This window comes from Homo sapiens, chromosome 15, assembly GCF_000001405.40.
Source record: "Homo sapiens chromosome 15, GRCh38.p14 Primary Assembly".
Taxonomy (NCBI): Eukaryota; Metazoa; Chordata; class Mammalia; order Primates; family Hominidae; genus Homo; species Homo sapiens.
In genome coordinates this window covers 63,362,237-63,388,164 of record NC_000015.10, presented here as the reverse complement: position 1 = coordinate 63,388,164, position 25,928 = coordinate 63,362,237, and the positions used below count along the sequence as shown (strand labels likewise).

The 25,928-nt window shown below is 48.7% G+C and overlaps 1 protein-coding gene across 4 annotated transcripts in view, besides 2 other annotated features; it reads left to right on the top strand.

The window, feature by feature from the left end:
* Positions 5,595-6,114: an enhancer, noted in NCBI's record as "H3K4me1 hESC enhancer chr15:63674250-63674769 (GRCh37/hg19 assembly coordinates)". NCBI's record gives its function as "activates a minimal SCP1, AML or CMV promoter by ChIP-STARR-seq in naive H9 embryonic stem cells {active_cell/tissue: H9 hESC(naive)}" and the evidence as "EXISTENCE:reporter gene assay evidence [ECO:0000049][PMID:30033119]".
* Positions 6,115-6,635: an enhancer, noted in NCBI's record as "H3K4me1 hESC enhancer chr15:63673729-63674249 (GRCh37/hg19 assembly coordinates)". NCBI's record gives its function as "activates a minimal SCP1, AML or CMV promoter by ChIP-STARR-seq in naive and primed H9 embryonic stem cells {active_cell/tissue: H9 hESC(naive and primed)}" and the evidence as "EXISTENCE:reporter gene assay evidence [ECO:0000049][PMID:30033119]".
* The window catches only part of CA12 (carbonic anhydrase 12), a 60,469-nt gene continuing 40,859 nt past the window's right edge, over positions 6,319-25,928 (top strand). For all 4 annotated transcript variants that reach the window (NR_135511.2, NM_001293642.2, NM_206925.3 and 1 more), the window contains exons 1-2: positions 6,319-6,529; positions 12,487-12,507. Coding sequence is in view for 3 of the 4 variants with exons in the window: in NM_001293642.2 (NP_001280571.1) it covers positions 6,445-6,529; positions 12,487-12,507 (106 nt within the window). In the remaining variant the exon portion in view is untranslated. The remainder of the gene's footprint in view (positions 6,530-12,486; positions 12,508-25,928) is intronic.

Sequence of the window (25,928 nt, the reverse complement as noted above, 5' to 3'; positions counted from 1 at the left end):
AGTCCACTCTTAGGAGTGACATCTTATGTACGACAAATGTCGTTATTTATTTCTTCCCAAAGTGCTCTCACATATACGGCCTCATCCCACTGCCAACCCTGTGTGGAGTTAGACATTCTTATTTCGACTTACAGATTAGAAAACAGAAGCAGAAACACGGCAAGGGACTTGCTGACATTCCACTGCTGGCTCCTGGCAGAGTCAGAAGCCTGGCATTCTTTCCTCCAGGTCACACTGTCCTCCAACTGATCCCGCCTGAAACTGAGCAGGGCAGCGAGGGTTCACACAGGGGTTACGCCTCCAAGCCATCACCGTGAAAGGGAAGACGCAGATGTGAATAAAACTACAAAACTGGCTATATTTTAAAACACAGACATTGGTACCCAGATCAATGGGTCTATGTGAGTCTTGGCCTAGAGGTTCCCTCAGCCACTGCCCAGTCAAAGGATACAATGTGGACTTTTCCTTCCTTCTTCCCTCCTTCCTCCCTCTTCTCCCTTCCTCCCCCTTCCCTCTCTGCCTCTGTCTTGTCTGGCCTTCCTAAGTCAAAGCAAACCTCGTTAATGTAACAGAAGAGCTATTTGGTATGGCTCACATTCTCCTTCCTTTGCTTGAGACCTACGTCGATTCAAAGCTCTGAGCTCTTCTTTTGGCAAATGTTCTATCCACTGATCACAGAGTATGATACAGGGTCCCTTGGTCCCTCAGACACAGCCATATCCCATGCTGAGCATTATTTGATTGCTACAATCGGTACACGTGCCTCTGATCAACAAACAAACGATCACAGCATCTAGAAAATTGGAGAACCGTAGGCCAGGCATGGTGGCTCATGCTTGTAATCCCAGCACTTTCAGAGGCTGAGGTAGGCAGATCACTTCAGGCCAGGAGTTCAAGACCAGCCTGGCCAACATAGTAAAACCCCATCTCTACCAAAAATACAAAAATTAGTCAGGTGTGGTGGCACACGCCTGTAGTCCCAGCTACTCAGGAGGCTGAGGTAGGAGAATCACTTCAACCTGGGAGGCGGAGGTTGCAGTGAGCAGAGATCACACCACTGCACTGCAGCCTGGGCGACAGAGAAGACTGTCCAAAAAAAAAAAAAAAAAAAAGAAAAGAAAAGAAGGAAAACTGGAGAATCCTCCTCTTAGAGGCACCCAGTAAGAAAACATCTCCATCTGAGGTATCTGTAGGACAGCCATGAAAAGAGCCTGCCTGGGCCTTGGAGACAAAATCATCTGGGTTCCTCATGAACTAGAAAAGATTCAACTTCTCCAAGCCTCAGATTCCTCATCTATAAAATGGCAAACCTAACACTATCCCTGCATGTTGTTGTAAGAATAAAGTGTCAAGCACAGTGGCAGGCAAACAGTAGGTGCTCACTAAATGTCTATTTTCCTCCCAGCAGTCCTTTCTTTAGCTCCATATAAAGGTGCATTCCCAATTGAGTGACACCATTTGAAGAGTTCATTCTTATCTTAAGAAATAAAATTATCACCTTAAGAAACAAAATTCTCTATACTCTAACCTTTATGCCTGAAAGGCTAACAACTAGCTATGTCAGGGCAAATGCCACCAAATGGCACTAGGTTTGGGAAAGAAGAGCCTGGTATGTGCTGTGCATTTCAAAGGTTTTATGAAGTCACAAAACATAATCCTTATACTGATGATGTCTTCCTCACCACCCCAGGACAGAGTGGGCCCCTCTCAGTCATATCTCAACCTTCTATTGCACTCATTAGAGTTGTAATTATATAGTTATTCATGAGATTATTTGTTTTATGTTTGTGCACTCTCCAAGAGCCTAGCATAGTGCCTGGCACATAGAAGATGAATGAATGAATGAATGAAGAAAATGTCCACTGGCCTTATCACCTTCCAGCCATATATCAATTCTATGATGACTCAGGGGTATGGATTACACCTTCATTTTACAGAGGATGAAAGCTTGCATCACGGTCAAGGTCAGCCATTGAGGAAGTGGTGGGGCAGGCACTTCAGCCAACCCAGACTTCCTAACACCAAATCCTTGTTCATTCCTGCTTCTCTGCCCCTTGACTCACCAGCCTCACCCTTGTGTCTATTCAGATGGTAACATCCTAGGGGGTACCATTCCCTGTCTAGGCATGTCATTTGGTGGCCAATTGCCACATTTTGAGTGCAGAAGGTCTACTTTCTACCCTAACTCATTGAGCAATGGGTTATTTATTGGCTGACAACAGCCCCAGCTGATGATGGCACAGCAAGCCCTTGCATGTTCATCTGCACAAGCCTGAGGAAGCAGACAAAGGATTCCCAGAGTTGGGAACTTAAGCTGGTTGGGTCTGTGCTGTTTGTCAGGGGGGGATCCTTGACATTCAACTTGAATACCTGTGGTCATTCCATTCATAATAATAATAATAATTCTGGGTCTCAGTTTACATGCTCAATTCCCTTTTAATTGCTATCCATTATTTACTAATTAACCAAGTTTCTGACACAGCCATGCAGTAAACATCTCAGCCCTGTTCATTCTGTCTATGAAACCCAGTTCACAATCTAGCCTTACTGGTCTATGAAGTCCACCTGTTTCTGCCATTTTAACCTCTCCATCTCTGGGGATCTCTGGAGAATACTTAGAGGTGCATGTTCCAGGAGACAATGAACTTAATGTTTAGACAGACATGATGGGTGAACACCTGGAGTGGGAATACCAAAATATGTGTGCATGGCCCAGTTTACCTTTAACTGGTTGTGACATGCGCAACAAGTGATTTCACCTCCACAGATTCGGTCTCTGCGTCTTTGAGCCTGCAGTGGTTTCTCCCCAAGCTCTGTGTTCCTCTAGTCCATTTAATCTTCTAAACAGACAGACTGCCCTTGATGACAAATCTGAACAAGAGAAACACTCCTGCACCACTCCAGAGCTCACTCGAGGCCCTCTATCAGGCAGAAAAGATGATCCCTAAGCCTACTGTGGTCTGGAAGTGCTTGTAACAAGATTGTCTTTGTAACAACTTCCTTAAGGAGACTTCAAAGCCCTTTATTAACCCACACAGTAGCTGAGCTGGTAGGGACAGAGCAGTAACACCCCTTGAAATGTGGGTGGCATCTGCTTTTTGGTGGCTCTTGGAGGAGAAGTTACTCCATCCCTTCAAACCCACCACGGACAAGTGGCTTCATTGGTCACTAAGGCTGGCCTGAGAGTGTGCACAGGCTGAGGGTCAGCACAGATGTGAGATCAGAGAGGGCTTGTCTGGCTGCTGTGGCCAAGAGAAGAGGGCATGACAGGCCAGGTCACAAACCCAGGGGTCCTGTACCAGAACTGGGGTGGACACCCTTCCGCAGCCCATGTGACCTGAGCAGTGTGCATAGGCAGCAGTGAGTAGGATCATAGAGCGGGGAGGAAACCGAGCCTGGCCCCTGCAGCGGTGCAGAGACACACGGAGGGCCCAGGGAAGCCAGAAGCACAAATGACTACAGTGGTGGCAACAGCAGTGGGAAGATTTAGGGGGTATTGGGGCAGCAGGTTAACAAGACTAGAGAAACACTCCTGTTTCTCTAGCACAGCCTGTAGGTCTAGCACAGCCTGTAGGGACAGAAAGGTGTGATCCCTTTCCTCCCCCATCATAAAGGTCACAGTTGACACTCAAATAACAAAAGACAGGCCAACAAGTGACACAAGAGACTTCAGAAATGAAGACCCAAAGACTCAGGGAGAACGGTGTTTCTGCTTAGGTTTGATGAAGAACATGGATGGCCGTATAGAAATGTGATTGGAGAGAAGGGTGTGATCTCATAGTGATAGACTGAGGGGAACCCAGCAAGGCCTGTCCGTTCCAATTCTTCTTGACCTCTCTGTGTAGCATTGCTTTCTCCTGGGTATGGGGCAGGACCCCTCTCGAATGAGGGTCTTTAAAGGAGAAGGGAGAGGGGAGAGAGTGATGTTTCTAGATTTTATGGCTTGCTGTGGAGGAGAGGGGCTCTACTTTCTATGACCTGCCTGGGGAAGAGGGATTCTGGTTTCTATGATTCACTTAGCGGGAGAAGAAGGGGCAGGAGACAGGAGGATGGGAGAAGGTCAGAGAGACCTTGTTTCTGAGGCCTTTTCAGTTTCCTTCAGTTCAAAGTACTCAGCATGCCAAGGTGCCATACTTTGGGGTATCATGTTCTAAGCCCCCCAAAAAAGTGCCTGACACACAACGGGTGCTCAGTAAATAATGTAAGTCCCTTTCTTCTGCTGCCACCCCAAAAGAGGGACCCTCTCTCCCAGCTTCCTAGTGAGGATGGAATGATGTATTGAACCAGCATGAGTCCCATCTACTTACCCGTTACTAAGGGGAATTGTGATAAGCTCTTCATGTGTACCCCACTGTGCTGTTCTCCTATTCTCAGTTCATCTCTTTGCATCTCAACTTGGAAGGTAAGAACTTAATCAGGATGCACTGAACAATTGGCAGAAACTCATGTGAATGTAACTATCTTGTCCAGTTCCTTAACCTGTGCTAAGTCCAGGCAGGCACCTGAAGAAAAAAAAAAAAAAGCATGAAGGAGGCTTTTGCCCAAATGGCACTATACTTGGGGGATTCTGAGTAGGGCTGAAACAGCCTTTGCAAAAATTATAACTGAGGAAATTATGGCAGTGACAAAGATCAGACCTAAATGACTCAGTCTTTCTTCTAACTTTCATGCTGTCCTTATTCATTCCTGGGCATAGGCCAAACTAACCTTAGAAAGGAATTCAGTTTATGGTTTGACTCAGAAACAAAATCAATAATAGCCCTTTCCCGAAAAGACCCCCTTCTTGCCTGGGTGCCAGTCTGCCTTTGTACGATTAATCTATTAGTTACAACATTAGAAATTATGGTTTAGGGGTCCTGCGGCGTCAGGCTGCAAGAGTCTGAACCTTCCCAAGTTGCTGCTGGGGATAACATCGCTATTGTAAAATCTAACATCCTATTTTGCAGACCCTGCACTGGATGGATCAGCTGACACCACTCAGACCGTGTGTGATCTGGCTCAACCAGTTCTGCGATCCCACCCAGGAACAGAAGACTGCAAGAAAACGTTACTTCAACCCCCCTGTGATCCCATCTGCAACCTGACCAATCAGCACTCCCCAAGTCCCAAGCCCCTATCTGCCAAATTATCTTTAAAAACTCCCAGAGGCAGGGTGCAGTGGTTCAACGCCTGTAATCCCAGCACTTTAGGTGGATCACGAGATCAAGAGATCAAGACCAGCCTGGCCAACATGGTGAAACCCCGTCTCTACTAAAAATACAAAAATTAGCTGGGTGTGGCGGCGCGTGCCTGTAATCCCAGCTACCCAGGAGGCTGAGGCAGGAGAATCGCTTGAACCCGTGAGGCAGAGGTTGCAGTGAGCCAAGACCATGCCACTGCATTTCAGCCTGGGCGACAGAGGGAGACTCCGTCTGAACAAACAAACAAACAAACAACTCCCGGAATGCTTGGGGAGACTGATTTGAGTACTGGAATCCCAGTACTTTAGGAGGCCAAGGTAGGTGGATCATTTGAGGTCAGGAGTTCCAGACCAGCCTGGCCAACATGGTGAAACCCCGTCTCTACTAAAATTAGAAAAATTAGCCGGGTGTGGTGGTGGGCGCCTGTAATCCCAGCACTTTGGGAAGCCAAGGCAGGTGAATTATCTGAGGTCGGGAGTTTAAGGCCAGCCTTAAACTGGCGAAACCCCGCCTCTACTAAAAATACAAAAATTATCTGGGCATGGTGGCATGTGCCTGTAATCCCAGCTACTCGGGAGGCTGAGGCAGGAGAATCGCTTGAACCCGGGAGGCGGAGGTTGCAGTGAGCCGAGATCACGCTATTGCACTCCGGCCTGGGCAACAGAGCGAGACTCCGTCTCAAACAAACAAACAAAGGAACGAAAACCTCCGGTCTCCGGCACGGCAAGCTCTGCGTGAATTACTTTCTCCATTGCAACTCCCCTGTCTTGATAAATGGGCTCTGTCTAAGCAGCGGGCAAGGTGAACTCGTTGGGCTGTTACAGGACCAGTGACAGACCAAGGGCATGCCACTGAAGGAATCCCTAGACGCACCCTTCTGGATGTGAGACAGGCGGATCTCACCCACGCCTGCCAGCAGCTCCTCGGAGAACTGTGTTCCTGGGTCAGCCCTGGCCCAGAGGAGCGCCGGGGACCCGCAGAGTGCTGCTGAAGTCAAGGCTACAACTCACCTAGGATCTGGGGCGCCAGCCCTCCGGTGGGCAGGGCGTTCTCCTCCCCCACCCCCTCCCCGCACGATGACATCAAGTGTTTGGCGTTGAGTTGCTCCATAAAAGCTGCCCGGGGAAGCCAGGAGAGCGAAGGGCGGACGTACTCGCCACGGCACCCAGGCTGCGCGCACGCGGTCCCGGTGTGCAGCTGGAGAGCGAGCGGCCACCGGGAGCCCCCGGCACAGCCCGCGCCCGCCCCGCAGGAGCCCGCGAAGATGCCCCGGCGCAGCCTGCACGCGGCGGCCGTGCTCCTGCTGGTGATCTTAAAGGAACAGCCTTCCAGCCCGGCCCCAGTGAACGGTAAAGTTTCCGCCTGCTTCTTTCCTAACACTCCTGAGCGCTCAGCCGCCCCTGGGCTGAAGGCTCTTCAATGATAAAGTAAAATCATTGCTGCGGGGAGCAGGGAAGGTGTAGTACCAAATAGTAGATTCTCAAGAAAGGATGCTCCGTTTTCCTTTGCTGAGGTTGGGTCGGGAAGCACGTTGCTTTCTAGTGGCGCTTGGCGCAGATTTGGTGTTAAAATGTTTGCGTGTACTCCCGGGCACCGCCAGCTCTGAAGATGTGGCTTGGGAACTTGCTAACCAGGGAGGAGATGCAAAGCCAAGATTTAAAACAGCGTTCCCCTGATCCACGTTTAGAAAGTAGAGACATGACTGTGGCATTCTGATTGGGGTAAGCACAGAGAAAGGTTTGCTGTGCCCCTGTGCAGAACCCGCAGACAGTGGTAGGCGCTTTTCTTTGGAGGAGAGGATCTTTACCATTAAGTCTTACCTACAAGTCAAAGGGATGATGCATCCCATTCTTAATCATTGTTTTTCTCCAGGAGGGCTCTACTATGCTGAATGTACGTGTGTGTGCACGTACACACACACACGCACGCGCGCACGCACACAAACCACACACACACACACACACACACACACAGCATATTTCTGATTGTAATTAGAACACTAAATCCCAAAAGGCTGGAGGCTGAGGGACTGAATGGAGGCTCCGTGGAGTGACAGGAGGAGGTGGCAGAGGGGACCTGAACTGTGGGCTCACGCCGGGCCAGTGAGCTAACACGTGTACAGCCAAGGCTGGTTCATTAATCTTTTGGAATAAGAAAGTGATTTTGGACCGAAAGTGATTTTACTGGCTGAAACTAGATTCTTCCTGGCGAGGCAGTGGTGGTGGGAAATGTGTCCTGCTCAGCAGCATAAAAGCTCTGAGCCTCCTCTCTTGGAGGTCACAGTGCCCATGGGGAAGGGCAGGGGAGCCAGGCTGTGGATAACTCTTAATTAAATTCCAGTCAACTAGCTGGCATGATGTGCTTGATATTATCTCCCTCATCTGGTCAGGGAGAAACAGAAGCGATGTAACAGAAGTTGGGAGAAAGGAGCGATGTAAAAGTGAAAATCAAGTTTTAAAACCACAAACTTTACATGTTTCCTTTTACGAAAGCTGCACTGAGACCAAAGTTTCCCTGGAAATCTCTTTAGTCCTAAGTTGCTCCAAGACCAAAGGGAGAAACAGCCATTAGTTGGCCCTCTTTCCTATAGCTGGTTGCTCCTCTCACTCTGGGGCAGCTCTGCCTCCCTTCTCTCTCTTTTCCTGCCCTTCCCTGTTCTCTTCCCTCCCTCCCCTTCCTTTCTTCCCTACTTTCCCTGCTCTTCCTCTTCCCTCTCCCTTTCCCTCCTCCTTATCTCCTCTCCCAATTCTCCAAGTTGGGACTGGGGAAGTTTGTAGTCAAAACTCCACTTTCGCCTCACTCTGAGGAAGGAGACTGCCTACCCCTGGGTAGAGCACAGCTTTTATTCTGTAAATTCTCATGCAGTTTCCTTGGGTTTTTAACTGCCTTAGAGGACAGGTCAAAGCAAAAATCACTGAGGTGTAGAATGTCAGCATGAACCCAAAGTTGGAGGTGGAGAGGAGTTAAGCTGAGTAATGGGGTCAAAGTGTGATCTGCTCTCTGCCTGGTGCATTTAAACTTCCAGCATTGGAGAATGTTCAAGAACAATGTCAGGGGCCCAGGAGGGAGCATAATAATGTGAAGTCAAGTGTCTTCTGGAGAAACCCTTGGAATTCTTAGTTGCCGTGGCTTTGGGGGGCATTTCAGTGAATTCTGCAGAGCTTGCCCTGCCCAAACCTGGTGTGGAGAGCCAGGCAGTCTTGGGCTACCCAGGAGATGGTTACTCAGGGAAAGTTCTAGCACCCAGCACAGGAAGCAGGCAGGGCCCAGGACCTCTGATATGGATCTTGGTAAATACCATTTTCTCTGGGCATTCCCTCCAGGGGAACCTCCCTGCCCAGTACCAGCTGGGTCTGCAGGTTCTAACAGGTTTCAGGCTGAGCCTCCCAGGTTTCCCAGATGGAACAGATAACCTTCCTTGGGAAGGAAACTATTCCCCTCCAGGAAGGGCCTGCTCCCTCAGGATGCCACTGAGGCCTTGGCCTGGCCTCGCTTGTGGAATCAGTTTAATCCTTTTAAGCCTTCTGTTCTTACAGCTAGAAGTGGGGAACCAGGGGGTGCAATTCCTGAATAAAGCACACTTTCGTGCGCGTGCACACACACACACGCACACATACACACACTTTTAGAGAGACTTCCTGAGGTCAGAGCTGAGCTGGGGCCCTGATCCTCACCCGATGAACCCCCTTGACTCACCATCCTCACTTACAACGCCGCTTCTCCCCAGCCCTCCAGCTCCTGAGCCCCTCCAGACACTGCCATTTATACCCAAAGTGCCGAGTCTGGAGTCCCAAGCCAGCTCACTCACAGAGAGGAGGGCAGGGAATGTTGCTCTGGAGGCTGCTGCCTTTCAACAAGTCCCCAGTCCTATGTCACCACCGCGACCTCACAGTCCCAGATGTCCACTCTATGACTTTTAGCCCTGAGCTTTCCAGAGTGTGATGCTGAGGCCTCATCTGAGGATGAGAACTCCAACAACAGGGAAAACCTTGATTAGCGAGCCCTGGGAGGGTAGCAGAAGATGTAGGGTATAAGGCTATGATTTGAATGTGAGCAGGTACAATGCAAACTGCTGGCAAGGCAGCAGTGCTCAGGCAGCAGATGTGTTTCTAGTGGCCTCCAGGATCACTGGAGTGGCCTGTGCCTCCTCAGGGGAAAAGTAAGGGTGAACTCCTCTGTTATTTGTGGAATTTTACATCCTGGGCCTCCAACTGTTCTGCCTGCTAAGAGGTAATGATCTGGCTTATTATATCTCTAAGGTCTGGGATTACATCTTAATAATGAACCTCTCACACAAAAGACTGAAGAAAATGTCCAGAAGAGGTTTTATGTCTTCTATAGCTTGGTTTGAAAGCAATGCTTTCTTTATTTTTTTTCATTGTTGTTTCAGCAAAGGGGTGAGCAGTAAACTTGGGGGTCACATACAAGTTTGGTTTCCCCGTGGTTCTGAATGTCTAATTACTAATTCAAGGGAGGTTGATCTTGGGACCCTCAACTCTCAATGCACCCATAGCTGGTTTCAGGGGAGTCTGTGGACCTTCTGAAATGACTTGTATATAAAACTTTATGTGTCTAAGCTTAGGGAAATTTTTTTTTTGAGACAGAGTCTCGCTCTGTCACCCATTCTGGAGTGCAATGGCACAATCTCAGCTCACTGCAACCTCCGCCTCCCGGGTTCAAGCAATTCTCCTGCCTCAGCCTCCCCAGCAGCTGGGATTACAGGCACCCGCCACCACGCCTGCCTAATTTTTGTATTTTTAGTAGAGACAGGGTTTCACCATGTTGGCCAGGCTGGTCTCGAACTCCTGACCTCAGGCGATCTGCCTGTCTTGGTCTTCCAAAGTGCTGGGATTACAGGGGTGAGCCACCGTACCCAGCCAGCTTAGGGAAATTTTTACTGGGAGAGGTCCATAATACTCATCGGATACTCCAGGGGGTCTGGACTCCTCCACTTAACTACTCCAAAGATTGAGGAGACTTGAAGATTCCCTAAGTTCATGGCACTAATGCTAAATTAATGGTAAATGCGGTGGGACTCCTTCCAGTGGGAATATGATATTGGTCAGGACACTTCACCTTGGTGGACTTTCATTTCCTCACCTACAAAAGGAGGAGATGGGCTATGAGTGTAAGAAAGAGATCTGAACTCTTCTCTTCCAGGGTGGGATGTCAATAAATAATGCCTAAACATAAAACAATCAAGGTAAAACAATATTAGCATGTTATATAGAGATATGGAGATAATAGCAAAAGAATCATTTTAAAAAGATCCAAAGTGGTTGCTCTAGGGAGCAGTACATGGTTAGGGAATGTCAGGGAACTGAGGTTTTTGTTACACAGCTTTGTAGAACCATCTGACTTTCTAAACCACGTGCAAGTGTAATTTGATAAAAATTACCAATTACATTGGAAAATTAAAAACAAAATTAATTACAAACACTGAGGCAAAGAAATGGAACAGAATAACAAAAAATATGAGATTAAACCGGCTTTTTTTTAAAAAAAAAGCCAAGTTCACTTTTTAACTTTTAAAAAACACAATTTCCTTAAGTAGGAAATGCCAGGAGTGATAAGTGACCAGATTGCTTGTCACTTAAGTTTTACTGCAAACTAATTCCCACGAGAGAAAGGGGATGTGAGGTGCTTCCCCACAAGGGTACGCTTTTCCATCTGTACCCTTGTGGGTCGAGAACCACGGAGACCCTGGGAAAAGTTGGGAGGCAGGGATTTAGGAGTTGCACAGTCCCCTCATTGGATGAGTCACCTGAGACACACAGTGGGATGCTTCTCTACTCAGGGTCCCTTCCTCGGAGGTGAAGAGGAAGGCCGGCAGGCAGGGTCACAAGAGCACAGCTCTGCACTTGTGAAAAAGACCTTTTTTGACATAGGAACGAAGAACATTTATGCATGAAGAGTGTGGAGTGCGAAGTAGTGGGTGACTTTTGTTCTCTTTCTGGCAGAACTTTGCCTACACATTCCTACTACCCCTGGAATTCTAACTCAGATGTGGGTAGCAGCTTCCTCAAAGAGAAACTTTTTCCCAGCTGGGTGCTGTGGCTCACACCTGTAATCCCAGCCCTTTGGGAGGCTGGAGTGGGCAGATCGCTTGAGCCCAGGAGTTTGAGATCAGCCTGGGCAACATGGTGAAACTCCATCTCTGTGAAAAATACAAAAATTAGCCAGGTGTGGTGGTGCGCGCCTGTAATCCCAGCTACTAGGGAGGCTGAGGTGGGAGGATTGCTTGAGCCCAGGAGGTTGAGGCTGCAGTGAGCTGCGATCACACCACTGTACTCCAGTGACAGAGTGAGACCCTGTCTCACAAAAAGAAAGAGAAAGAGAGAAAGAAAAAGAAAAAGAAGAAAGAGAGAGAGCGAGAGAGAGAGAAAGAAAGAAAGAAAGAAAGAAAGAAAGAAAGAAAGAAAGAAAGGAAAGAAAGAGAGTGGGAGGGGAGAGACAGAGAGAGAGAGAAAATGTAAAGTGGGAAAAAGCAAGACACAGAACACTATTTCCAGTATGCCAATGTTTGTGTGAGGAGAAAGAGGGAGATCAATGCATATGTGTGTGTAGCCATGCCATGAAAGGGCTCCCAATCATCAGCTAACCTCCTTGTCTAATGGAAGCAGGGAAGGTAGAGTGGGAAGAAGAGCTTCTACTGTATATACCATTTGATGGCTTTTGGGTTTTGAGCCACATGAAATTATTGCCTATTCAGGTAATAAAGTTTAGCTTCTCTAAGATGTCTGGAAGGCACCTGCTCAAGAACCCCCTCCTGCTTCCATGAGCCTCTGCATGAACCAACTGCCTGTGCTGCTGACTGGAGCACAGTTGCCCTGAGAAGCTGCTGTTCTGATGCAGACTCAGAAAAAGTTTCAATTTGGCCGGGCATGGTGGCTCACGCCTATAATCCCAGCACTTTGGGAGACCAAGGCAGGCGGATCACCTGAGGTCGGGAGTTTGAGACCAGCCTGACCAACATGGAGAAACCCCATCTCTACTAAAAATACAAAATTAACCAGGCGTGACGGTGCGTGCCTGTAATCCCAGCTACTCAGGAGGCTGAGGCAGGAGAATTGCTTGAACCCAGGAGGCAGAGGTTGCAGTGAGCCGAGATCGCGCCACTGCACTCCAGCCTGGGCAACAAGAGCAATACTCCACCTTGAAAAAAAAAAAAAAGAAAAAGAAAAAGTTTCAATTTCTGGGCATCGACCTCCTTTTCAATTTCGCTCATATCAAAACAAAATCTGTAGTGTTTTCCATTACTCATCTGGTTCCATTGTACTTACTTACTGTGTTTTGTTCTTTGTAGGTTCCAAGTGGACTTATTTTGGTAAGTAGAGATTTTAAATACTTTTTTGTTGAAAAGAAAATAGAAATGGTTGTATTTAATGAGAAAAACAGAAACTTCATGCTCTGTGGAGGTGATTTTGAAGGGTCGGAAGCACAGTTCTTGTATTGTAGAAAGAGAGTACAAAGGCATCTCCTAAGAACACTTCAACTTGGGTTGCATACTGCACTTTCTCCAAGCAGGCGAGCCTGCTCCAGGCACAGGACTGTGAGTCATAGTGTCCAGGCTTCAGATTCCTGCAAGGATTTCTACCAAACCTCCAAGATTTGGAGGTAACTTGCCCCACCTCCGGACTGCAAGGGTCCTGGGCAGGAGAGAGCCTTTCTCCCTTGCAGGACACATATCCTATTATAAACAAAGAAGAAAGGGCTCCTCTCTGAAAGTTTGGCTGAGGTCCCAGAACTTAAGCTGTCAGTATGTCTAGAATTAACTTCTTGTTGCCGTGATTGTAAGCTAGCGATGGATGAAGAGGTGTTGGTCAGTGCTTAGTGAAAGAGGGATGCTTGTCTTAAATGAAGCGAGAGGAGCACCAGTGTGCTTGTTGCCTGGGCTTTCTGTGGGACGGTCTCCAAGAGCATGTTAGCCCCATCTGGCAGGCCTGCCAGAGAAGCAGCTGGAAATCAGCTTAGCTGGAGAGTTGCAGTGAATTAGAAATTGGTCATTGGCTGGAATGGATGTGGCAGGCCAGACACCTGAGTCCCCTGGCCAGTGCGGGAATGTTGATAATGTCTTGTTGGGGCACAGCCACAGAAGATGCACAAGATCGATTGTTTTGGTAGCAGAAGGGTGGAACTGACTCACTGGCACAGGAGGCATTTTAAGCAAGCAGGGTTGTGGCCAAAGTTAAAGCCACAGGATGCAATGGCTGTGGGCGGGGACAGGCGGGAAGTTGATTACTACAGTGGAAGCACCGTCCAGAGAAAGATCTGACACCAATTTGCATAGGTCAGCCTTTGGAGGTTCACCAGCCCAAGATGCATAGAAAAGTCACTGAACTGACCAACCAGCTACCCACAGGCCAAGGTCCCCTCAGCCCCAGCACTGCACGGCTCCGTTATTGCTAACATCCCTTATGTACTGATTATGTGCACAGCACATTGCTAAGTGGGTGGGTAATAGAAGGGTAGGCTGTGGTCCATAGTTGGGAATTACTTAAAGCTCACAATTCAAAGCAGAACATAATAGGTAATAATAACATCATAAACAAATGCTTCAGAGATCTGAGTGCTCAAAGGAGGGCGAGTGTGCTAGGGCTAGATGGTCAGGGAAGGCCTCCTGGAGGAGGAGGGCTTTCACCTGGGCCTTGGAAGATAAGGAGGATTCGGTGAGTGGGGAGTGGGTGCTGTTGGCTAAGGTGATGTTGAGCAGAAGCAAGAAAGAGCAAGGTGGTGTTCGAGGAAAGCATGTGGAGAAGGGTTGATAGCGGAGTCACGGGCTCTAAGGTCAGAGAGATAGGCTGGGTCAAACAGGGGAGGTGTGGAGGGTCAGGGCAGGCCTTTCCCACTTTGTCCTGCTCCTGGAGGGGCAGGGCAGGGAGTAAGTCTGTGTTTTAGGAAGAGTTACTTGGTGGTAGGAGGTGGAGGGGGAAGGATGGAGGGAGGCAGGAAGGTGTTTGGCCTGTGGAGAAACCCCGTTCCGTGTCTTCACATCCAGTTTACAGTGGTGGCAGTGAGGGGGAAGGCCAGGCCAGGATAAGAGAACTGACAAAGTAAGAATCGCAGAATCTGGGCCACAGGGCCCCTTGGGCAGGTTCCGTGTGTAGGAGGTGACAGGCATGGAAAGAAGGTGGCACTTGGGTTCTGGGCTTTATTCCATATGATCCCCAGTAAGCCATTTCAGCCCCAGGACTTCACTTTCCCCATCTGTAACCTGGAGGAGGGGTTGTCTAGACCAGTGTTTCTCAAACTACGGCTTGGGATCACCCACATCAGGATCACCTGGAATACTTCCCCAAAATGCAGATTTCTAGGCCTTGGGCTAGACCTGGGAAAGGGAGGGAGCCTGAAAAACCTGTATTCTTAACGCACTCCCCAAGTGATTCTTAGCTGCACTCTATCAGAGAATCACTGACCCATGGTTCCCAAGACCTGTCTATCCAGAGAGAGGAAGCTTGCCCCACCTCTTCTGCTGGCCTCTCAGGTATGATAGAAACACAGATCACATCTCTACGGGGTCCTCTATCCCTATCTCTCTGTTACAGCCCTCCTGGGCAGAATGAGATGGCGACAGGGAACAGAGACATTGTGTGAAGGTGTGGGAGGACAAATTTTTTTTTTTTTTTTGGAGTCTCATTCTCACCCAGGGTGGAGTGCAGTGGCGTGATCTTGGCTCACTGCAACCTCTGCTTCCTGGGTCCAAGGGATTCTCCTGCCTCAGCCTCCCAAGTAGCTGGGATTACAGGGGTGTGCCATCACGCCCGGCTAATTTCTGTATTTTTATTAGAGATGGGGTTTCACCATGATGGCCAGGCTGGTCTCGAACTCCTGATCTCAAGTGTTCTGCCCACCTCGGCCTCTCAAAGTGTTGGGATTACAGGTGTGAGCCACCATGACTGGCTGGGAAGAGAATCTTAACTGCCTCTTCATCATGACGTGGTGTTCGCCAAGGGCGGGCTTCTCAGTGCAGCCACACTGACCTGTCCAGAAGCATTTCTCCCTGACCACTAGCTCTGGCCAGCCCTCTGTCCCTCCTACCCTGCATAATTAGAGCAGCTCTTTGCTGAGGAAGCAGAGGGCAGAGTCTAATGATGCATGGACATGCATGGGGTAAGCACAAAGGCAAGTCTGGTTTTTATTAGTGACATGGGCATGTGTGATGTGGAGTCAGCCCTCAGAGGGGACGTGCAGGAGAGGACAGATGGAAGACAGCTAAGGAGGCAAACTCCTCCTGAGGTCTTGGCTAGCTCCTCCTTAGGTCCTGGCTGGCAGCTGGCACCTGTGCTCAGGGCTGCACAGGTAGACAGAGGGCCCAGCATAAGTGCTGGAGGGAAACGGCTTCCAAGCAATAAGGGCCGCACTGAATGGGGCAAGTCCAACCAAAGGCTCCGTGCTGGGCATGGTGGCTCATGTGCAGAACTCAGCTTCTTTGCACGTACACTGCTGAGTCATTCTCCAGGGGCCTCCCACTGTCTGGCACACATGGTAGGACTTTTAGAAGTACAAAAAAGGGAGTTCTACCCCTACATCCTCATAGCTGAGTCACCAGGCTGACTGCATGGATGGCTCCTCCCTGGAGAGAGGAGGACCATCTGACTGCCAAGATGGGGCCAGCGCCACCTCTTTGAGCCCCTCCTAGGGTGCTGAAACAGCAGCTGAATGGCTGCTGGGCTTAGCATGGCTGAGGTGGCATCATGAGAGAGAGGCTGGGGATGATGTGACATGGACCTTCCCCGCCGGAAATCAGTCCCGCATCAATCCCGCTGAGCCCGGCAGCTTCACTTGCTGTGAACTGAGGACAGCTGCAGGTCAGGTTGTCATGTGAGCTAAGGACAAACTCCAGCCTGCTAAGGTATCAGAATATGTGCCCTGTGGGGGATGAAGATGACCGGAAGGAGGCAGGAAGGGTTGTGGGCACGTTCAGGTCCTTGGTGTGGGTGCTGCAGTCAGTTTTTGAGCATTCATCCAGCTGTTTGCTTATGGTCTACACACTTTTCGGTATATATTTCATATTCAATAAAAGAGTTACAAAGTTCCAGCTGGCTGGGAGATTCATCCTTACTCTGATAGCTTTTTTAGTCCTTCCCCAAGAAAAAACCAAACCAAACCAAAACAAAACAAAAAACCCAAAAACAAAACAAAAAAAACCCTAGTGTGTTCAAAACAACAGAGCAACCAGAAAGAATGACTGTATTGGAGCTAGACCCGAGAGCACATCATGTTAGCTGAGAATGGGCGTGGTGTTTCATCCCTGATGATATCAGATATTGGCTTGCTGCTTCTTGGATGTGAGCTGGTTGAGAAATAGATGAAAACCCCTGTTTGCTCAAGATCTGCAAAGTCTTAAACGCGATGGGATGGCAGAAGAACATGGATGACAAGCCTTCCTCCTGGAGGGTGCGCCAACCCCTATCACAGCCCCACAGGGCACCCGCGAGGCCAGCCCCTCCATCCTGTTCAGGAAACCTTGGAAAGAAGGTGGCCTGGCACGGGGGTGCCAGGTGGCTGGCTGTGGCTGTGGCCGCACATGCTTACAGGTCAGCCTGCCCAGTTCTCTGTTGCGGCAGGCCAGCCCTCGTGGCCCTCGGCTCTGGCAGGACTCGGTGTGAGCCGGGCAGTGCTGTGCATTCCTTTTGCTGCACTCCTTGGTTCCTCTCCCAGATAATACATTGTCCGTCTTAAAGAATTTCCTTTGGAAATCAGGGGGAGATCCTCCACTGGGGCAAACCTCATTTTCATGTCCCTGAAGTCCTCCAGGCCCACACCTCCACCCGCCTTCTGTCCTGTATCTGCGGAAATATTTATTTTCTGTAATGAACTTTCTTGGGGCTCCAGACACCCTCTCAGCCTCTTCCCACACAGAACTAGAAATGGAACACATGAAAGGAGGCCAGGAAGCAAACTCTTGACTTTCTATTCTTCAGCAGTGATAAAGGCACTGTGTGACCTCACACCTGAATTGCAATATAAAAAGCAGGCTGCAGTGAGAGCTCAGGGGAGACTCAAAACAGCAGGGAGCACCTGCAATTAATAGACCGAGGGCTCTTGTCTCTATCAAAGGGAGGGAGGCTTGGCCATCTCAAAACATTCCAGCCACTTCTCGCGACTCCCAGCTGCCATCCTGAGGATGAATAAGGGGCACAAAGTACTCTCAGGAGAGCCGGAAAAGGCCAGACATGTTTTTCTTTTTTCTTTTTTTTCTTTTTTTTTTTGAGATGGAGTCTCGCTCTGCCACCCAGACTGGAGTGCAGTGGTGCAATCTTGGCTCACTGCAACCTCCGCCTCCCAGGTTCAAGCGATTCTCCTGCCTCAGACTCCCAAGTAGCTGGGATTACAGGCACCCACCACCACGCCCGGCTAATCTTTGTATTTTTAATAGAGACGGGGTTTCACCATGTTGACCAGGCTGGTCTCGAACTCCTGACTTCAGGTGACCCACCTGCCTTGGCCTCCCAAAGTGGTGGGATTACAGGCATGAGCCACCGTGCCCCGCCCAGATATGCTTTTCCTATCTTTTCTTTTTTTCTTTTTTTTTTTTTTTTGAGACAGGGCTTTGTCATCCAGGCTGGAGTGCAGTGGCACAATCACTGCTCGCTGCAGCCTCCATCACCTGGGCTCAAGGGATTCTCCTGTCTCAGCCTCCCAAGTAGCTAGGACGTATGCCACCATGCCAGGCTAATTTTTAAATTTTTTAGTAGACACAGGCTACATTACCAGGCTGGTCTTGAACTCCTGGCCTCAAATGAGCCTCCCGCCTCGGCCTCCCAAAGTGTTGGGATTACAAGGGTGAGCCACCGTGCCTGGCAGACATGTTTTTCATACCAGCACACTGAATTCCTATCCCCAAATCCCATGGATTTCTGCTGGGGTTAGAAATCCGACCCCCTATCTTGAATTAAATCTGTGTTGTAGTTTCAGTTACTTCTAATTGAAGTTGTGACATCTAGGGTCTGTCTGGATGTGGTGTGGCCCGCCTACTCATAGTTACTTCTCATCTTTCCTGAATTGCAGAATTGGGGTTTGTGCGTATCCTGGAGGCTTTTGGCCTGTGGCTGCCAAAATGCCTACATTTTTGTGTTCACAGCTGGCCTCATCAGCTGAGTAAAAACATAGGGAAGCTAGCATTAGTTCCTAAAGACAGGCATAGTGGAACAGAGGATGAGGCAGAAAACCAGGAGGAAGAAGCGGAAACTTTACAGACCCCAGAACCAGGCGACCTCCATGGAAATATCTGCTAGGCCACTTTCTGTCTGGTGCGCCTTAGGAAAGTAATGACCTCTCTGAGCCTTGGTTCCTTAGCTACAAGATGAGAATCATGGCATCTACACCAGTGGTTCTCAAAGTGTGGTCCCTGGGCCAGCAGCATTAGCATCACCTAAGCCAAATGCAAATTCTCAGCCCATCCCAGGCCTACCTCCTAACCAGAAACTCTGGGGGGCGGGGCCCAGAAATTTGTTTTAACAAGTCCTCCAGGTGATTCTGCTGCTCACTCAAGTTTGAGAATCCCAGCTGTGCTTCAGAGGGTTGTGGTAAGGATCAAATAAGATAACACATGGAGAGAGGCTCACACAGGGCCTAGCACATACAAAGCTAACTGTAGTTTCTTTCTCTTTGCCTCGCAGAGCTATGGTGCAGATTAAATGAACTAATATGGAGGGAAAGGCCTTGTAAACTCTACAGCACCAAACGCATGAGAGCTCTATTTTTGTTAGGAAGGGTTCTGCTTCTTCACACTTTTCTGAATTGTGAGTTTTTACAGCCAGGAAATACTCCTTTTATATTTTCAATAAACAAAGGGTATTTCCTTTTTGAGTAAGAAAGGAATTTAAAAAACACAAGGACTGCAAGCTCTCGTCCCAAGGGCCTCACAGGCCAGAATGTCCTTTCTAGCCTGGTTCTTCAGACCAAGGTGAAGTCAGGTCTCATCTCCCTGGTGCTTTCCTGGCATCCAGGAACCAGATATCTGGTTCCATAACCATGGCCTCCTCAGCCAAGCCCCTGAAGTCTCCCAGAGAGCAGGCAAATAGGCAAATTCTCTGGTTCCCTGTCTAGCCCATGGGGGCTGAGCCTAGTTTGGGGTTCAGGAGTGGAGGCCTGAGCCTAGGAAGAAACTTGGGGCTGAGCTATTTGGGATTGACACCAGCCTAGCCTCATGCAGCGCCCTTTTCCCACTGGGGCAGCATCAAGCCTTGGAACCGCAGGTGCAGCGGGCTGGCAGGTGAGGAGGAAGGACGAGCTGTGGGGCTGTCCTGCCAGGGCCTTTCAGGCCTCTGGCTGTGCTCCGACTTGACCATTCTGCTACCTGCTGGTCTTGAGCCCCGGGCATTCAGGTGAGGGCAGGGCATGGCTTCTGCAAGAGCTGGCCAGAGCTTTTGGCAACGCATCCCCTTAAGAAGAGGAGCCAGTGTGCTGCCCTGTGAACCTGCTCAAAATAAATCTTTCAAGTAAAAAGGCTGAATTCAAAGCATGAGTGGGAAGGTGGCTGCGGGCAGGAGGGAGGAAGTCCTGGTTCTCCTTGAGGAAGAGAATAGGTCAGAGAATGTTTCCTCGGGATCCTGCAGTCTTAGAAGGAGCAGGGGCCTCCTTCCTGGCCTGTTACTCTCTTCCTTCGCAGGGGCAACTGCTGGGCGAAGGGTGCAGGCACCACGGTGGAGCGCAGGCACCATGGCCAGTCTCTTCCAGGGGCCACACCACCAGGCCAAGAAAGAGAGATAGCACCTGCTACAGTCAAAGGTCCTATTTTATTGGTCCTAAGATGTCCACTTTCCCCACATTTTAGCATCTCTGAAATTGGGATATATCTTGTTATCAGTTGCATTGAGAAGCAATGAAATAGGATAGCTATTCCACGAATACAGAGAAGCACCATGTTAGATGCTAAGAACACACAGAAAGGGGCTGAAACGATTAATTTCAACAATACTGAAAACAGTGGAGGCAAAACGGTATAAAAATAACGGCCATTATGCACCTGGTCTGACACAGCACGTAAGTATGATGGGGAATCATGTGAGATCTTGAACTATAGCTTTTTCCAACTTGCAGTTAATTCACAGTTCACGTATACTTTTTGGTGATGTTGGGTCGTTCTCACAAGTATGTAAAAACAAAGTAATTTAGGCACTAGTTTTTTTAGTTTATGTAAGTATTCATTTAAGGAGAAAACTTTCCAATTACCTGACAAGCGTTCAATTTATGCCAACCAGGAAGAAACAAATACTAGCTGCCACCTCCTTGAGTCTATAAACATTGACTCAGAGCTGGTGTAACTCCAAATACGTAGATCACTTAGCTCATTTTAACTTTTAAACAATTTTGCAATTATTAACTCGTGACTAGGTCAGCTATGGTGTGAAATGGATGCAACCCATCCAGTTCTCAGAAAGATACCTGCAGATTCAGGGCAAGTGGCACATGCTGCCCCCTCCTTCTAGGACACAGGGCTCTGCAAAGTCTCCTAGGTAATGATGACAGTGAGATTTCCTTATGTAAGGTCATGCTGGCATTGGCAAGTGGGGCCTGGTGCCTTCCCAGGGTGGCTCCTCATTGGCACACCACTTTTCTGGAAACTCTATCAGAAATGGAGAAAGGAGAAAAGATGGAACTCTCAATGTCGTGGAAGAAAGTTTTGAAGCAAGTATGAGGCAGTGTTTACTGTTGACTCTTTTGGCTTTGGTCACCAGGAAGCCCAGAGGAAAATTGATGTCTCCAACTTGAGCAAATGTCTATTCTTCTATGACCTGCAAATCTAAAGAAGCCATGCTGGCTGGGTGCGGTGGCTCACAGCTGTAATCCCAGCACCTTGGGAGGCCGAGGCGGGTGGATCACTTGAGGTCAGGAGTTTGAGACCAGCCTGGCCAACATGGTGAAACCCTATCTCTACTAAAAATACAAAAATTAGCCAGGCATTGTGGCATGTGCGGTAGTCTCAGCTACTTGGGAAGCTGAGGCAGGAGAATCGCTGGAACCTAGGAGGCAGAGGCTGCAGTGAGCCAAGATCATACCACTGCACTCCAGTCTGGGCGACAAAGCAAGAGTCCATCTCAAAAAATAAAATAAAATAAATAAATAAGCCACCTTAGTGTTACCCTTCTAGCTTGGGGATCTTATTTCCTGATCCTGAGCCAAAACCTTGTAACAGATTTCTGGATTTTCATCTAGAAAGAGCCTTAGTCTAGTGGTACCCTACATTTTCACCACTGTTTTATTCTGCCTTCCCCCACCACATGGGTACCATGATTTAAACAGTTTTTAAACATATTTATATAGTAATGAAGTAGTTTAAAATTTCCCACTTGTTATTAATCAAAGGCAGATGTAAAAACCAACCAAAGTTTTCAACTTGCCTGAGATAAATGGTTCACATTCATTCCACAAATATTCACTGAGTGAAGACTAAGTGCCAAATATTGGACTAAAGAAACGGATAAGTATTGGTACTCAGGAAATGGTTGACAAGGCTTGGTCCCTACCATTATGAGACTAAGAATCTGGAGGACAGAGCAATTAAGCGGGGCCTTACAGTACAGAGGAGAGAGACCTCACTCAGTATTTTGGAGGAAAGGATTAAAGAAGGCTTCCTGGGGGAGGTGATGTCCAAGATGAGACCTGAAGGACACATAAGAGCAAGCCAGGCAAAGGGCAGGGGATGGAGGGCCTCTGGGACAAAGGGACAGCCTGTGCAAAGAAGGAAGCTGCTATGTTCTGGAGATTCCTGAGGACCTCAGTGATGAGGGAAGGGGCTTGGGGCCAGAGTGTGAAGAGCTGAGCCAGGCCAAAGAGCCAGGACCTCGTTCTAGACACAGCAGGGAACTGCAGGACATGCTTTTTTTTTTTTTTTTTTTTTGAGATAGTCTCGCTCTGTCACCCAGGCTGGAGTGCAGGGGTGCAATCTCAGTTCACTGCAACCACTGCCTCCCAGTTTCCAGCAATTCTCATGCCTCAGCCTCCCAAGTAGCTGGGACTACAGGCACACGCCATCACGCCCAGCTAATTTTTTGTATTTTTAGTAGAGATGGGGGTGTCACCATGTTGGCCAGGCTGGTCTCAAACTCCTGACCTCAAGTGATCTCCCCGCCTTGCCCTCCCAAAGTGCTGAGATTATAGTCATGAGCCACTGGACCTGGCCCACTGCTGGACCTTCTAAGTAGAACACTGACAAACTGGGATTAGCATTTTAGGAGAATCATCCCAGCTGCAGGGTGGAGAATGGATTGAGTGTGAAACCCCAGAGGAAGGGAGACCAGAGGGATGTAGGGGAAAGGGAGAGGATCTGGACCAAGGGAGGAGAAATGGGGGTCCTGACCTTTTGATATAATTGGGCCAGAAATGTAGATACCCAACATTGCAATTGCCTGGAGCAGCCTGATTGTGGCTGAAAGCCCGTCTCTGCTGGGCTTCACAAAGTATTCAAATAGGTGCCCAGACAGCCGTTATTGCTTAGGTGGGCCCCAGGCAGGGGAGGGGAAGCTCATGTCACCAAACCCTGCCCCTGTTTACAACTGAAGCCAGGAAAGCTCAAAACTGTCAGGTGGCTCCAGCAGCCTGAGGAGCAGAGTCAGAACTTGGGCCTCTTAACTCCCTCCCGGTGCTCTTTCCCAGTCCATTGGTGGATGCTCGTTTTATGCCAGGCACTGTGTGCCCTGCACTACACCTCATGCCGTTGAGGAAATGCAGGGATTTTTTTTGAAGAGTAAATAGTGTAGATTTGCCAGGAATTATGCCAAGTTCACTTGCTTTTCTTCCCCCCATCAGGATCAAAGGCTTAGCAGTTAAAGAAAACACAATAGACTTAATACCTATTGACATAAATAAATATTTTACACTGTTCGTTGTGACATGCTCATGGGAAATGTGGATCAAAGACCAGTGTGTCCGGATGAGGTGGCTTATGCCTGTAATCCCAGAACTCTGGGAGGCTGAGGTGGGAGGATCACTTGAGTCTAGGAGGTTGAGGCTGCAGTGAACTGTGATTGTGCCACTGCACTCAGCCCCAGCAACAGAGAGAGACCCTGTCGCAACACAAACAAACAAACACACACACACCAGTGCAGTTGCTAGGAAGACAAAATAGAATCCAGTCATTGCTGTCAGCAGCACAGGGCTGAAAGAGGTGCAGGAGTTCCTCCAGGAACAATCTTGAAACAGTGCCCTCAGGAACACATCTTTGGAAGAGGTTGGGCAGTGGAGGGAGTGCGGTGATTAGCACTGGACAGGACCACATTGGAAGAGGGAACACAGAGGACAGGCCATGCACAGTGAAGAGGCATATGCCAGAAATGTGCCTGGACGATGGGCCAGGGCTGCAGGGCCTGGGCAGCAAGCCGTGATTCAGTGAGCAGATATCATATGAGAACGGCACACTGCGAGGCAAGAGCCCAGGCTGCAAAGACTGATTGAAGAGGAGCGCCCACATCCCCCAATCTGTGTTCATCTGCGTATTTGTGTTTTTAGATGTGTCTGTACTCACACATACTCCCAGCTGCATCTCCTGTACAGTTTAACTGGGACCCAGCCTCTCAGCTGGTTTCTGAGTTACTCACATGTGCATTTATAGCTCCCTGCTTGGAACCGTGCTTAGGTGAAATCTTAAAGAGACTCCTTGTGGCAGTTTCCTAAGAGTCCCACTGTTTTTTTTTTTTTTTTTTTTTTTCTAGTGACGGGGTTTCACTGTTTCACTGTGTTGCCCAGGTGGGTCTCAAACTCCTGGGCTCAAGTGATCTACCTGCCTTGGCCTCCCAAAGTGCTCTAAGATTGTGAGCCATCGCACCTAGCCAAGTCTCCTCACCGCCCCCCCACTTTTTTTTTGAGACAGAGTTTTACTCTTGTTGCCCAGGCTGGCACGATCTCTGCTCACTGCAACCTCCGCCTCCAGGGTTCAAGCGATTCTCCTACCTTAGCCTCCTGAGTACCTGGGATTACAGGCATGCGCCACCACGCCCGGCTAATTTTGTATTTTTAGTAGAGATGGGGTTTCTCCATGTTGGTCAGGCTGGTCTCGAACTCCCGACCTCAGGTGATCCGCCCTCCTCGGCCTCCCAAAGTGCCAGGATTACAGGCGTGAGCCACCGCATCCGGCCAAGTCTCCCACTCTTGATAAGCCTTTTAGTGGAATGCTTAACTTGTACATCAGCAAGGATGAAGCAGGGAGCGACCCATCCCTTGGTCAGACTGCATCTGCACAGATGCCCTGTCAGAAAACTTGTTATGCCCTGGTAAAAAGTTAAGAATTATAGGCATCAACTGTTTCCTGCCACATAACTGTCCCATGATGGCATGGGTACTTCTTGGGTTAATAATCAGGTGTTGGCTTTCCTGCAAAGGCTGATTATCACTTGTCAAATTATCACTGCTGAATTGTTTAATCAATGGTGGCTTTTGAGCTTGAGCCTGCTGCATGCACAGCAGTGTTCTAGGACTTCCAAGAGGAACAGAGGGTGACCAAGGAGCCATTTTTACCCTCAAGAAGAGTTATCTAGAAGGAGGGTGTGTCTGCACAGCTTAGGGGTCAGCGTCTCCACAGCAGCTGCATAGGCAGATAGATGCACATAGCCTGGCCCAGGGGAGGTGCTCAGGAAACACTTGTTGATGATTGAGGAAAGAATGGGTTATTTCTCTATTAATTTTTGGCTCTGGGACTCAGGGAAGGCACCAGAGAGAAGGTGACATTGATCTGGGATGGTCGGATTTCAGAGGTGAAACTGGCCTGAAAGGAAATGCCACATCACCATGTGCATCTCATTAGAAGTAAAAGGAGACATGTAGGAAACCTTAGATTTGTTTTTGGTGAAGTGAAAGAGAGAAGTTGCTCTAAAAGGTTGGAAACCAGCCCCTAAGAAAAAAAGAAAGAACTGAGACAAATCAACTCAGGAGGGCCTGGGACCCAGCGTGCGTAAGAGTCTACCTTGTCTAGACATGGCTCTTACGCAGTGATTCCTCACAGCACAGCACCCGGTGAGATAGGTACTGCCACTTCCATTTTGTAAGTGAAGCCCAGAGAAGCAAAGAAATGTGCCCTAGGTCACATAGCTAGTCGGTGGCAGAGCTGTGATTGGCAGGTTGGTCGAATGCCTCCAAAGCCCTCGACCTTCCCACTATACTTCACGCATCTCTAGAGAAGAGACAGAAGTAGCCAGGATGAAGGTCTTCAGGTTTAAGAAGAACTATGAAAAAGCAAAAGATTTTTGTTTTCGTGGTTTTTTTACTATAAAGGAAAACTTTAAATAATAGCAAGAGTGCTATAGGTAAGATATCAGAAAGAACATCCTTATTGTGAAAGCTGTTACGTGAAACATTGAGCCAGCATCAGGTCAACGTCCAGCGGCCAATCTTCACTTTAGTTCAGGCTTCATCCTGGGGAACTTCAGGAAGTTTCTGTCTTTTATCAGATCCCCTCTTTGGGTAATTTCCAGACTCCCCAGGGATTGTTCACAAAGTCACAAATGGCTAGTTCTCCACTCCCTCCAGCTCTGGACCATTGCCCAGGGCTTATCTGCTGGTCACGTCTCACCACCTCATAGCCGTTGCTACTGCCTGGGCTCTGGTCCCTCCAAAGAGCATTGAGAAGCTGCTGTCGTGGAAGATGTGAACTGTCATGGTTCAGAGCTCAGGCTTGCTACTCACTGGCAGTGTGACTTTGGTCATATTAGTCAATCCTTCTGTGCCTGGGTTCCTTTGTCTATTAAAAGGAACACAGTGTCTATATCATAGCATTGTTATTCAGATTGCAGTAATTAACACATGTTAAGC